General features: G+C 44.0%; 1 protein-coding gene across 9 annotated transcripts in view, besides 4 other annotated features; it reads right to left on the bottom strand.

The window, feature by feature from the left end:
• The window catches only part of GCNT1 (glucosaminyl (N-acetyl) transferase 1), a 113,548-nt gene that overhangs the window by 43,496 nt on the left and 55,803 nt on the right, over positions 1-14,249 (bottom strand). Inside the window, exons 1-3 of one of the 9 annotated variants that reach the window (XM_047423227.1) lie at positions 4,616-4,739; positions 3,744-3,861; positions 1,695-2,621 (exon numbers count right to left, since the gene is read on the bottom strand). The exons of 5 other annotated variants lie outside the window; for them this stretch is intronic. The gene's annotated coding sequence lies outside the window, so the exon portion shown is untranslated. Of the gene's footprint in view, positions 1-1,694; positions 2,622-3,743; positions 3,862-4,615; positions 4,740-14,249 lie in introns of those variants that run through there. 3 more of the 9 variants (XM_047423228.1, NM_001490.5, NM_001097633.2) reach the window with 3 other exon arrangements.
• Positions 469-518: a silencer, noted in NCBI's record as "silent region_19962". NCBI's record gives its function as "represses an Ori minimal core promoter by ATAC-STARR-seq in GM12878 lymphoblastoid cells {active_cell/tissue: GM12878}" and the evidence as "EXISTENCE:reporter gene assay evidence [ECO:0000049][PMID:35858748]".
• Positions 3,355-3,424: a silencer, noted in NCBI's record as "silent region_19961". NCBI's record gives its function as "represses an Ori minimal core promoter by ATAC-STARR-seq in GM12878 lymphoblastoid cells {active_cell/tissue: GM12878}" and the evidence as "EXISTENCE:reporter gene assay evidence [ECO:0000049][PMID:35858748]".
• Positions 3,695-3,804: an enhancer, noted in NCBI's record as "active region_28474". NCBI's record gives its function as "activates an Ori minimal core promoter by ATAC-STARR-seq in GM12878 lymphoblastoid cells {active_cell/tissue: GM12878}" and the evidence as "EXISTENCE:reporter gene assay evidence [ECO:0000049][PMID:35858748]".
• Positions 4,415-4,954: a silencer, noted in NCBI's record as "silent region_19960". NCBI's record gives its function as "represses an Ori minimal core promoter by ATAC-STARR-seq in GM12878 lymphoblastoid cells {active_cell/tissue: GM12878}" and the evidence as "EXISTENCE:reporter gene assay evidence [ECO:0000049][PMID:35858748]".

Below are 14,249 nucleotides of genomic sequence, written 5' to 3'. Positions count from 1 at the left end.
CCTGCCCCCAGGCCTTATTTTAAATATCATTTTTTAAGCAGGTCTTCCCTGAACAGTCCCTCTCCCCTCAACCAGGTTAGGTCTCAAGGTCACATGCTCCCCTAACACCCTGTGCTTTCCTAAGTACCACTTAAGATTGTGATAGCCTGAGCCGGTGTGACTATGTGTTTGGCTCATAAGCTCATAAAGGCAGGGACCCTCCATCTTGTTCACAGCTGTGGCCCTGGAGCGAGCAATGCCGGGCATCTAACAGATGCTCAGTAAATAGTTGTTCAATGAATGCCTGAATAAATAGGTTGCTCCAGTACCCATGACTCTAATGAACAAACATTTGGCTACCTCTTTAGCAAACGAAAAATCAATCATGGGAGGATTTCTTAGTAACATTATTGCATTGATGACCAAATACATGCAGACTCCTCATTGGAAACAGAAGAACAATCAAGGAAGCAGAAACTCCAGGTGCCTAGTGGCAGCAGTAACATTTCACGGTTTAGATTTGCATTTGTGACCACAACCTTACTCTTAGCTATGAATAAAGAGTTTCACCAGGGCCAGCTCATGGGTGGGCAACCAACGCAGTCACACTGGGCCGTGCTTGGCTTAATGCTCTGTGGTCACCATGTTCAAATTCTTAATTTTTTTAACAAGGGGCCCCACAAATTATGTAGCCAGTCCTGAGTTTTACAAATTAGTTTGATTTCTGGAAGGGAACAGTGGATAGCTAATCCCCAGCTAAGGAGGCATCCTCCATAATCAAGGTTGTTTTCAACCTCCCTGAGCACATGTAAGTCCTAAGAAAGAGGGTTACATTTCTAGGACATGTTTTCTTCTGATATAAATTATATCATACATTATGTAGCGCTCCCTTTGAGAAAGTCGAGATTTTTCAGATTACAGAAATACACAGCAGTCTTCGTTTTATTGCTGTTAGCTAAAAAGAGGTTAATTTTTCTTAAAACTAAATTCTACTTAAAACTACCGTAGAATTCCTTTTTCATTTTCAACTTTTTAAACTTTATGAAATTTAACAAATACACTGAACGCTTGAAATTTCTTTGGAGATAGAAACTGGCAGGGCATGCTTCTCAGAATAGGAAAAAGAAAAAAAAAGAAACTGGCAGGACACATTGGCCATTCACAAAGAACACTGGTTTAGTTATCTTTATGATAAAGGTGTTTCAAGGCGTCAGATGTTTAAATTTACAAATAGCTTCTCTAGTCCTGAAGAGTTTCAAGTTAATTGTTAAGCTTATAAATGTTTAGACCATCTCAGAAACATTTAGACCATCTTAAATATAGGTTCATTTTGTTCCTCAACCAAAGATGACTTTGTTCTCCGGGGAACATTTGCCTATGTCTGGAGACATTTGGGGTCATTTAACTGCAGGGAGGGTGCACTGGCATTTAGTAGGTAGAGGCCAGAGATGCTGCTAAACATCCTGCAATGCACAGGACAGCCCCCACAACAGAATTTAACTGGCCAAAAATGGCAAAAGTGCCACAATTGAGAAAGGCTGGTCTAAACATATATGGCATTTGCCTCAGATAGGAAACGTGACAGCACTAAGCCACAAATCCAGTGACAAAGCCAAGAATACAGACAGTCTCCACAAGAAACACATATGGTTATATGAACAGTCATTTGGGAACTCCCTTTTTAAGACAGGGAGTTAGACATTTGACATACTGACCTGGAACCATGAATACATTTCTCATTAGAATAAATAAAAATAGTGACAAGAGTCCTTGGTTGGCTCTATAAAAAAAAAAAAAATACAGTATAGCTGAAATACCACACACTTCATAGAAAACAGAATTTGACAGTCAGAAGGGATCATTTCCAGTAGTAATTTCTGTTTTCTACCACTTCATTTCATGAAAAATGTACAATATCTACATCACAGTTCAGAATTTTCCATTCATCGGAGAATATAATCACCGTGTACAGTAGCAGTTTTTAAGGCAGAGTTTTGCAAACAGATGATGCATGAAACAAATTTGATTTTATTCTTTGTGGGATTTTTGTTTTGAGACGGAGCTTCACTCTGTCGTCCAGGCTTGAGTGCAGTGGCACGATCCCTGCTCATCCTAACCTCCGCCTCCCGGGTTCAAGCAATTATCCTGCCTCAGCCTCCTGAGTAGCTAGGATTACAGGTGCCCACCACCACACCTGGCTAATTTTTGAATATTTTTGTAGAGATGGGGTTTTGCCATGTTGGTCAGGCTGGTCTTGAACTCCTGACCTCAAGTGATCCACCTGCCTCAGCCTCCCAAAATGTTGGGATTACAGGTGTGAGCCACCATGCCCAGGCTCTTTGTGTGTGTTTTTTTTTTTGAGACAGACTCTCGCTCTGTCACCCAGGCTGGAGTGCAGTGGTGCAATCTCGGCTCACTGCAACCTCCGCCTCCCGGGTTCAAGCAATTCTCCGTCTCAGCCTCCCGAGTAGCTGGGATTACAGGCGCCTAGCCACCACGCCCAGCTAATTTTTGAATTTTTAGTAGAGACACCATCTTGGCCAGGCTGGTCTTGAACTCCTGACCTCGTGATCCACCCGCCTGGGCCTCCCAAAGTGCCGGGATTACAGGTGTGAGCCACTGCGCCCGGCCCTCTTTGTGTTCTAAAAAGGAAAAAATATGAGCCAATATTTAAAATCAGGCTTTACATTTTTTATTTTTAAGTAAAAGTTCTCAGCTATTCGTGGAAAAAAAAAAAAAAAAAAAAAGCTGCCTACACTGTATGGCTGAATGGGAATTCCTGCATGGATACTCGGTGGAAATGGCCAATATCCACCCAGCCTTAGCAGGTTCCTCTGCAGTCACCTGGGCCCAACCAAGCACTCTTGTGCATTACCTGTTTAGTCCATGTGGATAAAGTGGATTTTGTGATCCCAGTTTTAGGGAAAAACGTTTTTCTTACTGTTAAGCAATTCAATTACAAACGGAAAAGGAGTAACTCCTTAAAAAGTGAGTGGAAGCATTGCTATCATTAATCAAGAATGAACTATAATTAATGAAGGATAGAATCTAGTACAAACTTGGGGCCAAGGCTAAGGAGATCCTTTACAGGGCCAAGTTGAAGGACGGGCAGAGGAGGTGGCAGTGACCGTCAAACCCTCATCATGAAATGGAAAAAATATCAACCTCTCGGCCAATAAAACTTTTTAAAAGTAAATTCATAGTTTGGTATATTGTATTTTAAAATAAAGGAGTTTGCCATTTCTAAGAAATCAGTTTCCCAAAACTACCATTTTAAGGGCCCGAAAAAAATTCCTTTAAGAAAAAGCAGGTATCTACACAGTCTGAGTTTTCCTCCCTGCTAGAACTGAAATCTGTTACGAAAGCCTCCAGCAGGGGGGCCTGCCTGGAATTGCCTAAGCTCCTAGCAGGTAATTTACACTGATCTTTAAAAACTACTAAGCCCTCCTCCTCCCCTCTATAAAACAAACCGGCCTTTCAGAACAGCTCTGGAAGGGGGGCAGAATGCCAGACGAAGAGACAACTTCCAGACCACGTCTCTCACCTCCCACCCATCAAATTCAGCCCACAAAAAGCTGTGGCCGCATTCTCATCTCAAGGCACCACGGCTTTCTTTGAACACCATATATCTTCCCAATTGGCCTCTTGCCCCATTATGTGTAAAAAACCGACTCTCTTTTCTGCAGAAAGAAATAACAAGGCAAAGGGTGTACAGGGCAACGTTTATATGCATCTACAGCATGCCAGGTGCCTACAGAACCTACCTCGGCCTAGGCGGTCCGTGCCCTAGCCGGGATCTGCAGGCGCCCTCATCCACGCTGGGAGACGGGAAGAGGAGAGGGAGGCGTGACAGGCGAGGGTGCCTGTGCTGCGCAGAAAGCGCTGCCAGGAGAAAAGAAGCAGTGAGCAAGGGCTTCTTCCATTTCAAAAACCTAATAACCAAAACTTGGAGGAATCTGCCTGAGATACTTAAAAAAAAGAGGAAAGAGAAACCTAGGAGGGGGTAAAATGCTTTTAAGACGAATCACTTGTTTTCGTAATAGACCCTGCGCGCGAGTTTCCTAGACTGCCGCGAGAAGAAGGAAAGCGAGGGAGCAGGAAAGGAGAGGCTTCGGAGCCCCTAAACTAACGTCTCTTTTCTTATTAGTAATAGTTTGCTCCAGGGTGAGTCATTTATTATCCTAGCGTTGGCCTCTTTATCAGTAAAGTAGGGGTGAAAATGCATCTTAGCCGGGCTGGCGTTAGGATTCAATGAAGTTAAATGAAGTTAAGCCCCTGGCACCCATGGGATGGCAGCGAGTCTGTTCGTTCCCTGCCTATCCACGCCCGCAGCCAACCCCTCCGACATCTAAGCTACACGGACCAGGGGCAAGAGGCCAGAAAGTGACTTTCAGGGGACACGGGGCACCGGCGTCCCAGCCCCACTGAGCGGACGGAAAATGAAGGTGGAAGGAAGAGGCGCCGCTCCATTCCGGTCCCGGGCGCACCCCGGTTCTGCTTCCTCCTCCGCGGGGGAGCCCAGCCCGCCCGGGGCCACGGGGCACTGGCTGAGAGCCGGCTCCCTCCCACCCATCCTTCTCAGCCTTCCCCCACCGCCGGGCGGCCGAGCAGGGGAACACGAGGGAGAGCCGGTTACCTGGAGTGGGCGTCTGACCCCGGAGTCTCAGGAGGATGCCCAGCCGCTCCTGCTCCACCAAGCTCCCGCCCCGCGCCGCGCTCTAGGCGCTCCGGAGCTGCGCCTGCAGCCCTCACACCAGCGTGGCCCGCCCCGGGGCCGCCCCCAGAGGCCCCGCCTTTCTAGGCCCCGCCCACCACGTCCCCGCCTCGCCCACCTGCGCGAGCTCGGGGCTGGGGACTTGCTGCGGACTCGCGGTTCCCGCCTACAGGCGAGGGCGCCCTCTGGGCACTGACGTGGTCTGGGAGTAGCGCTGCGATCCTAGTGCTTCCTCGCTCCTCTTCCTCACTGTGCTCTGATTCTTAAGAGGTGTGTGAGCGGCGTCTTTTTAAACATTTTATGCCTCCCTTCCTCGAAAGCAGGAAACTCGAGAAATGCTGCCTTTTCTGATTTTAAACATGAAAATATGTTACAGAACAACAATAAAATTAAATTCCAAGGTTCTCGATATGTAAAGTTTAGAGATAACCATGTAGGTGTTTTTTTCTCTCCCCTAACGAACCTTGCTTCCTAAATTTAGCATTTAAGAACTCATTACATTCATGTGTATTTCCACATAAAAATTAAGATCAAATTAAACTGTGGAACAATCCACAGTGCTGTGGAAAGTAGGAAAAAACCTTCCCCGCCCTTATAGCACAGATCTTTGTGTCAGTTATAAAAGTTGACACAGTTCTCTTTGTAACAAGGGGAATATTGTGTCTGTGTCTTCTTTCGTTGGATTTTTAGCTCCTAGAAAACAGAACGAGGTCTTATTTGTTTCCATGTTGTTTAAAAAAAATTCTGGCCGGGCGCGGTGGCTCACGCCTGTAATCCCAGCACTTTGGGAGGCCGAGGCGGGCGGATCACCAGGTCAGGAGATCGAGACCATCCTGGCTAACATGGTGAAACCGCGTCTCTACTAAATATACAAAAAATTAGCCAGGCGTGGTGGCGGGCGCCTGTAGTCCCAGCTACTCGGGAGGCTGAGTCAGGAGAATGGCGTGAACCCGGGAGGCGGAGCTTGCAGTGAGCCGAGATCGTGTCACTGCACTCCAGCCTGGGCAACAGAGCGAGACTCCATCTCAAAAAAAAAAAAAAAAAAAAAAAAATCCAACTCAGAGGCCATTAGACTGTGATATGTTTGACACTTGCCTGATTTGTCAACAAAAATTAACATAAGATGATGGTATAGAGGAAGAAAGACTTCCCCTCTACTCTCTGAGGCTTGGATAACTAAGTCTATGAAATAAATTGACTGCAGGTAGATTAACAAGAGAAAAAGTACACAGATTTCGTGTAGGGGGTATCACAGAAAAGAAAAACTAATATTCCCTCTGCCTCCCCCAACAAAAACTGAGATTTTAGGAGCTTGTGTATCCTCTTCATTGGGGAGGGACAATTTAGGGGAGAGGAAATGATTTTGGGAAAAACTCCTGAACTCCTTCAATGGCTAGCTTTGTTTAATATCTCATGAAATTTTTCATGAGCAATTCAAGCATAATTGTTAAGAGCAAGTAGATTAGGTAAATGTAAATGGAATAAAAGTTTATAAACTTTTAAAAATAATTTGTTTTATAAAATTTGTCTACTTAAAAATAGTTTTAAAAATCTTTTTTGGTGACTTGAAATTTCGAACATATTAAATTAAGTAATAGATATTCATTAAATGTCTGAGTCATTTGTAAGTTAAAATACTGACATGTTAATTGCTAAACATAAGTTTAAAGTATAGCCGGGGCTGGGCACAGTGGCTCATGCCTGTAATTCCAGCACTTTGGGAGGCCGAGGTGGGTGGATCACCTGAAGTCAGGAGTTTGAGTCCAGCCTGGCCAACATACCAAAACCCCGTCTCTACTAAAAATACAAAAATTAGCCAGCTGCGGTGGCGTGTGCCTGCAGTCCCAGCTACTCAGGAGGCTGAGGCATGAGAATCGCTTGAACCCGGGAGGTGGAGGTTGCAGTGAGCTGAGATCGTGCCACTGCACTCTGGCCTGCGTGACAAAGCAAGGCTCCATCTCAAAAATAAATAAATTAATTAATTAAAAATAAAATATAGCTGGCTGTTTGCAATGGCTCACGCTTGTAATTCCAACACTTTAGGAAGCCGAGGTACAAGTATCACTTGAGCCTGGGAGTTTGAGATCAGCCTGGGCAGCATAGCCAGACCTCACCTCTACAAAATAAAAATAGATAAATTAACCAGGGGTGGTGGCCAAGCAATAGATTTATGAATTAACTTTTGGAATATATCTTGTTTGTCAGTTGGATACTGCCTGTATACCATAAGTGTAATCCATTTTGTTTGTGTATGTGACAGGGTCTCACTCTGTTACTCAGGCTGGAGCACAGTGGCGCAATCACAGCTCACTGCAGCCTCAACTTACCCCTGCTCAGGTGATTCTCTCACCTCAACCTCCCAAGTAGCTGGGACTACAGGTGTGTGCCACCATGCCCGGTAATTTTTTGGTATTTTTTGTAGAGATAGGGTTTCACCATGTTGCCCAGGCTGGGTTTGAACTCCCACGCTCAAGCGATCCACCCACCTCAGTCTCCCATAATGCTGGGATTACAGGTGTGAGCCACCTTGCCCAGCCCACTTATTTTTAATGCCTGCAATAACATACACCCATAAATCTATACAAGTAGTTTAGAAGGTATTTCTGGAATGCTTAGGGGTGTATCAGTCAGGGCCCAGTCAGAAAACAGAAATCACAGCAATTACTTTTACAGAGAATTTAAGGTCATGAAGATTGGCAAGGCAAAAACATTGTAGTAACAGAGAGAGAGTAACTGCAGGAAGCAGCTGCCATGCACAGAGCTGGGGAGAGGGGAAGTGTTGGGGTTATCAGAACCTAACAGCCAGGAGAGGGCCCCTGGTTGGCTGGGAGTCAGACCTCAAAGGAGGGGGCGGTACCCAGCTGGTGCTTTTATCTCTGAAGGTAAATATTGAGGCTGGATGGGAGAGGGTGGATTAAAACAAACAAACAAATCTAAGAAACTGGAACCAGCTGTTGCTGCAGCCAGGGAGAAGAGCCATTGCTTGGTAACATGGACAGGAACAGTAAGCAGCTATAAAGTAGCAAGTCCCTCTCCTCAAGCACCCCTTATAAGCAAAACCTTATAGGAAATGTGATTTGCTAAGTCCCAGCCCTGGCTCACAAAGCAGAAGATAGAAGCTTGAGTTTGAACTCTAAGACATACTTCAATAACCAGCACAAGGAGCAAACTCATGATCACAAACACCCAACTCTCCTAATATTATAGATGTGGGAAAGTGTCTGATAAACACAGCTGTCATAGTAATGATTAATACAATAGCAATATATTCTTAAAATGTCATAATAAAACTATAGTTACAAGTACAATCAAATAACGGGACAGAGGCAGGGCATGGTGGCTTATGCCTGTAATCCCAGCACTTCGGGAGGCCGAGGTGGGCAGATCACTTGAGGTAAGGAGTTCGAGTTCCAGCCTAGCCAACATGGCGAAACCCCGTCTCTACTAAAAATATAAAAATTAGCTGGGTGCGGTGGCACATGCCTGTAATCCTAGCTACTGGGGAGGCTGAGGCACGAGAATCGGTTGAATCTGGGAGGCGGAGGTTCCAGTGAGCCAAGATCATGCCACTGCACTCCAGCCTGGGTGACAGAGCAAGATTCCATCTCAAAAATAGATAAATAAATAAGAATAAATTAAAAAAAAAGTAAGGGGATGGTGTTGCTTGACCTATACTTTGTGTTACTGGAGACCAGTGAACATCCTCTCCCGGCTGTATTTTCTGAGAAACCACTAACTACATAGAACCACCTTTCCCCAAATGACTTAGGTAATCATCATGGATAACATCCTTTCACACTTACAACAAGGCCATAGACATGCGCTCCAAATTTCCATTCTCATCTTATAAATGGTTAGCTGAACCATTTGCCCCTACTGATCAATCTGGGCAAATACCTTACTTGATCAAACTTCAATGAGGCTTTTCTCCTTCCATCAGGTCTTTGCCCTTTAATCTAGTCTCAGCCTAAACCAGCATTGGAATTTGGAATAAGCCCCTTAATGTCCTGTATTAGTCTGCTTTCACATTGCTATAAAGACATTTCTGAGACTGGATGATTTATAAAGAAAAGAGGTTTAAAGGCTGGGTGCGGTGGCTCACGCCTGTAATCTCAGCACTCTGGGAGGCTGAGGCGGGCGAATCACAAGGTTAGGAGTTCGAGACCAGCCTGACCAACATGGTGAAACTCTGTCTCTACTAAAAATACAAAAATTATCCAGGCGTGGTGGTGCACGCCTGTAATCCCAGCTACTCAGGAGGCTGAGGCAGGAGAGTCGCTTGAACCCGGGAGGCGGAGGTTGCAGTGAGCTGAGATCATGCCACTGCACTCCAGCCTGGCGACAGAGTGAGACTCTGTCTAACAAAAAAAAAAAAAAAAAAAAAAGAAAAGAAAAGAGGTTTAATTGACTCACAGTTTTGCCTGGCTGGGGGGGCCTCAGGAAACTTTTAATCATGACAGCAGGGGAAGAGGCACATCTTACACGGCGGCAGATGAGAGAGAGCAAGCAAGAGCAGGGAAAACAGCCTTATAAGACCATCAGATCTCCTGAGAACTCACTCACTATCACAAAAACAACACGGGGGAAACTGCCCCCACGATCCAATCACCTCCACCAAGCCCCTCCCTCACCACGTGGGGATTATGGGGATTACAATTCAAGATGAGATTTGGGTGGGGTTTGGGTGGGAACACAGCCAAACCATATCACATCCCCTCCCAAGAAGCCCTTTTCCAGCTGACCACAAAGAAACTCTGTCCTGATCAGTTGCCTGATTGGGCCACCTGCTCATCCCACTCCCTGATACTGGTTCTTTTTTTTTTTTTTTTTTTTTTTTTTTTCTTTTCTGAGACAGAGTTTCGCTCTTGTTGCCCAGGCTGGAGTACAATGGTGGTGCAATCTCAGCTCACTGCAACCTCCGCCTCCCGGGTTCAAGCGATTCTTCTGCCTCAGCCTCCCAAGTAGCTGGGATTACAGGCATGCACCAACCATGCCCAGCTAATTTTGTATTTTTAGACGAGTTTTCACCATGTTGGTCAGGCTGGTCTCAAACTCCTGACCTCAGGTGATCCTCCCACCTTGGCCTCTCAGAGTGCTGGGATTACAGGCATGAGCCACCGCACTCAGCCGATACTGGTTCTTTTTAACATTGTTTACTACTACCAAAAAAAGAAAAACCCTTTTCTGCCTGACCTTTCAAAAGCTTGCAGATCTTATGGTTGAAGCATTCTATTAGAATGCCGTCCCTCCCCTATTGCGACATTCTCTTTTTCTATTGCAATAATCCTTCTAAATAAAGTCTCTCCTTACCTAGATCTGGATTTGGTTTTTATTTGACAGTTCTCATTGCTGTGATCCAGCTCAAGACTGGAACTCACCTAGGGACCTCCACCAGCCCCACCCAGGTAAAGGTGCCATGTTCAGGACTTGAGGACTCTTGGGTGAGTTCAAGTCTTGAACCAGTGCTCTGGCCATCTTGTCTGTTGAAGAACAGTAAGAGGTTACTTTGATTGTTTCAGGCAAAGAGATGCTTTGGCCCTCCTGTGAGACTTCTGTGTTTCCTCAGCTCCTCGACCTGGGGATTGTTCAAGGGAATTAATCAAGTGGGAGTTTTTCTTGGCTCCTTTAAAGACTTTTCTTTGGGCTGACTATCCACTAATGCCATGGGTAACTCTCACTCTATCAGATGCCCTCCTCTTCCCCCACTGAGTACCTGCTATTATGGCACTAATTCAGTTTAATAGCCTCAAAAATGGCACAATTTACTAAAGGTAACCTAGAACCTCAAAGGCCTCTTTGGGAAACATGAGATCTCCTTAAACCAGCTCATCTAAGACTTCTCCCTTCCCATCATCCTCATCCCTCCTTTTTACCACTTTAAACCTTCTCTTTTGTTGCCTTGAATGATTTAATCTGTCCACCTCCTTCACCCATCTACCCATTCCTACACACCTTTTCCTACCCACTCCAGCTCCTCAACTCATGGTCACTCAAGATTAGGCCTCCCTTCTGTTCTGACCACCTTCTCTTCACAGCACTGGTGAAGCAGGGATCTCCTGTGCTAAACAGGAGATGGCTGAACAGATGACACCCAATACTGGGCAGATGAGATTGGCTACAGTTTTTTCAGTTACATACTCACAGCCTAAGGGGTGAGGAGGTTATTGCATGCCAGGCAGAGCCACATGGGAATTGCATTTGAAAGCAGACTGAAGCAGCAGGGGCTGTGTGAGGCAGGCTTTGTAGTAATGGCACAAGAGTGAGGTAACCTTTTATTCCACGGGAGGATGTAATTGGCTTGTTCAAATAGTTCTGTGGGCTGGCAGGTAGGTAAAGCTCCTTAGATTGAAGATTAAGTAGGGTACAGCTGGTCTGGCTGAAGGGGAAACTAGCTGGGTAGGGAGCCCTTCCCACTTCGGGGGTGATATGGTTTCGATCAGTGTCCCTGCCCAAATCTCATATCGAATTGTAGTCCCCAGTTGTGGAAGTGGGGCCTGATGGAGTGTGATTGAATCCTGGAGGCGGTTTCTAATGGTTTAGCACCATCCCTTTGGTGCTGTCTTGTCATGGAGTTCTCATGAGATCTGGTTGTTTAAAAGTATGTGGCACCTCCTCCCTGCCTCTCCTCCCCCTGCTCCAGCCGTGTAAGATGTACCTGCTTCCCCTTCAACTTGCATCATGATTGTAAGTTTCCTGAGGCCTCCCAAGCCATGCTTTCTGTGCAGCGTACAGAACTGTGAGCCAATTAAACCTCTTTTCTTTATAAATTACCCAGTCTCAGGTAGTTCTTTATAGCGATACAAGAATGGTCTAATATAAGTACCTAGATCATTTCTAAGTAAGATAGACTAGTGGAGCATAATTTAAAGCTTATGTAAATTTTTTTTAGTACAGAGAGGCTAAATATATTTTGGTCTGCTAATGATGTGTTCATTCTTGCCACACTGAAAAGTTGTACAGGCCAGGTGCAGTGGTTCACACCTGTAATCCCAGCACTTTGGGAGGCCAAGGTGGGTGGATCACCTGAGGTCAGGAGTTTGAGATCAACCTGACCAACATGGTGAAACCCCATCTGTACTAAAAATACAAAAATTAGCTGGATGTGGTGGCAGGGGCCTGTAATCCCAGTTACTCGGGAGGCTGAGGCAGGAGAATCACTTGAAGCCAGGAGGTGGAGGTTGCAGTAAGCCGAGATCACACCATTGCACTCCAGCCTGGGCGACAGAGAGAGACTCCATCTCAAAACAACAACAACAACAACAAAAAAAAAAAAAAAAAAGAAAGAAAGAAAAGAAAAGAAAAGTTGTACTATAAGGAAGTGTATGGCTATAAAAAAGTCACAAGATATATAACCTTAAGCTTGACTAGTCTGCTACAATATGCTGGTATATGACAGACAGCTAATTATCTACTTCATAGTTTTCTCTGTAGGTATATTACTTTGCTAGGTCTGTCAACAAAGTACCATAGACTGGTACTTTAAACAACAGAATTTTGTTTTCTCACAATTCTGGAGGCTGGAAGTCCAAAATTGAGTGTCAGCAGAGTTGGGCTTTTTCTGAGGCCTCTCTCCTTGGCTTGTAGATGCCAAGATTAATATTTCTTTGGCCTTTTATATTAAAACTTTTAATTAACATTTATCTTTTTAATGGTAGGCATTCCTCATTTTAAGATACCTGACCCTTAAACAACTGATTTTTGCCACCACCTTTCAACAGATGCTTCAGCTGGTTTTGTGGGAACAACACCAACCAGAGTCCCCAGGAGACCGTTTCTTAGTCCCTGACTCACCCCATGTAGGAGGCTTAGGATTGCATCTGAATTGCTCAGTGGTGAATAATATTCTTTTATCATTAACAAAAGGGAGGTCAACAGTGTTGATCTTTGCCAGAGCCTTGTTTTTCTGAAAAATAGCACTGGCTAAAGAGCTCTCCTCATCCTTTTATGATAGCCACCCATCCTCTTCTTGCAATAATCCTTTTGAATAAAGTCTCCCCTTGCCTAAATCCAGATTTATTTTGACAAATGCTACAAAATTAGTTTTGAATTGTTTTAGAAATTTAATCAAATTACATTGAAAAGAACATGAGGAAGACATAAAAGAGTAAGGTACTACTTTCAAAGCATGGAGAAAGCAAATTCAATCATAAATGTACTGTCCAGGAAAAAAAGAAAGTGTGGCTCCTAAGCATGCAAATTCCAGGTAGAGTAAAGCCTGAAATATGTTTCTAAAACCCATACATGTAAGTTCTTTAATGTTTTTAAAAAGAAACAGGTTGATCCCTTTTAAGAGCAGGCAGCATTTCTCAGAATGGCAACAAAGCTAAAATCACACACAAAATAGTTTGATATAGTTAATACATTAAAGTGTTAAATGTATGCATAACAAAATATATCATAAACAAAGTTAAAAGTCAACAAACTAGAAAATATATGCAATAGTATGTAAGCAAAAATTAATTTTTCAAATAAAGGGGTGTTTACGTAAAAATATGCACCAGGTGAAAAATGGGCAAAGGGCATGATAAGATACTTCACTAAAGAAGAAATCCACATAAAAAGATGCTCAATTTCAATAGGAATTGAAGAAAAGCAAATTAAAACTACAAATCACTTTTTACCTATCAGATTGGCAAAGTTGAAAAAGATTGATAAACATAATATAGATGAAGGTGTAGGAATACAGACTCCTGTGCTGCTCTCTGTTGTAGAGATTTCTACAAACTTTCTAGAAGGCATTTGGACAACATGGATACTTATGGACAACTATTCATCTAGGAATTTATCCTATGTAGGAAATTTTACAAATACACAAAGATTTCAGAATCGAAACACTGTAAACAATGTAAGGGTTGTTAAAAAATAATTTTCAGAGAAAGATAAAATCATGACTCATACAAATATAAAAGTGCACATCTGTTAAGGAATTTACGCATATGCTATAAGGGAATCAGATGTACGTTATAAACATTTCAAAGGAAAAGTCAAAAAGCACAGATTTATCTGGAGTAAAGGAATGTTAAGATGAATTGCAAATGGAAACAAAACTGGTATTTTCATAGGGTGGGGATGGCGGGAACCAATTAAATTATTGCCAGACAGGACAGAATTTACACACCATCAGTTACATATAATTTATAAAAAGAGGCGAATAGGGCCGGGCGCAGTGGCTCACACCTGTAATCCCAGCACTTTGGGAGGCTGAGGCTGGTGGATCACTTGAGGTCAGGAGTTTGAGACCAGCCTGGCCAAAACGGCGAAAACCTGTCTCTACAAAAAATACAAAAAATTAGCTGGGCGTCTGTAATTCTAGCTACTTGGGAGGCTGAGGCATGAGAATCACTTGAGCCCAGGAGGCAGAGGTTGCAGTGAGCCGAGATCACACCATTGCACTCCAGCCTGGGTGACAGGGTGAGACTCTGTCTCAAAAACAAAACAAAACAAACAAAAACGAAAAGGTTTATTTTGTTTGCATATGTAAGCTTCACAGAAAAAAAGTGAAAATCCCAAAGAGGTGCTTAGACCCAGGAGCTTATACAGCATTTTAACAGAGGAT

Source organism: Homo sapiens, chromosome 9 (assembly GCF_000001405.40).
Source record: "Homo sapiens chromosome 9, GRCh38.p14 Primary Assembly".
Taxonomy (NCBI): Eukaryota; Metazoa; Chordata; class Mammalia; order Primates; family Hominidae; genus Homo; species Homo sapiens.
Note: the sequence above shows the minus strand (reverse complement) of the source record. Positions and strands in the feature narration are given on the sequence as shown.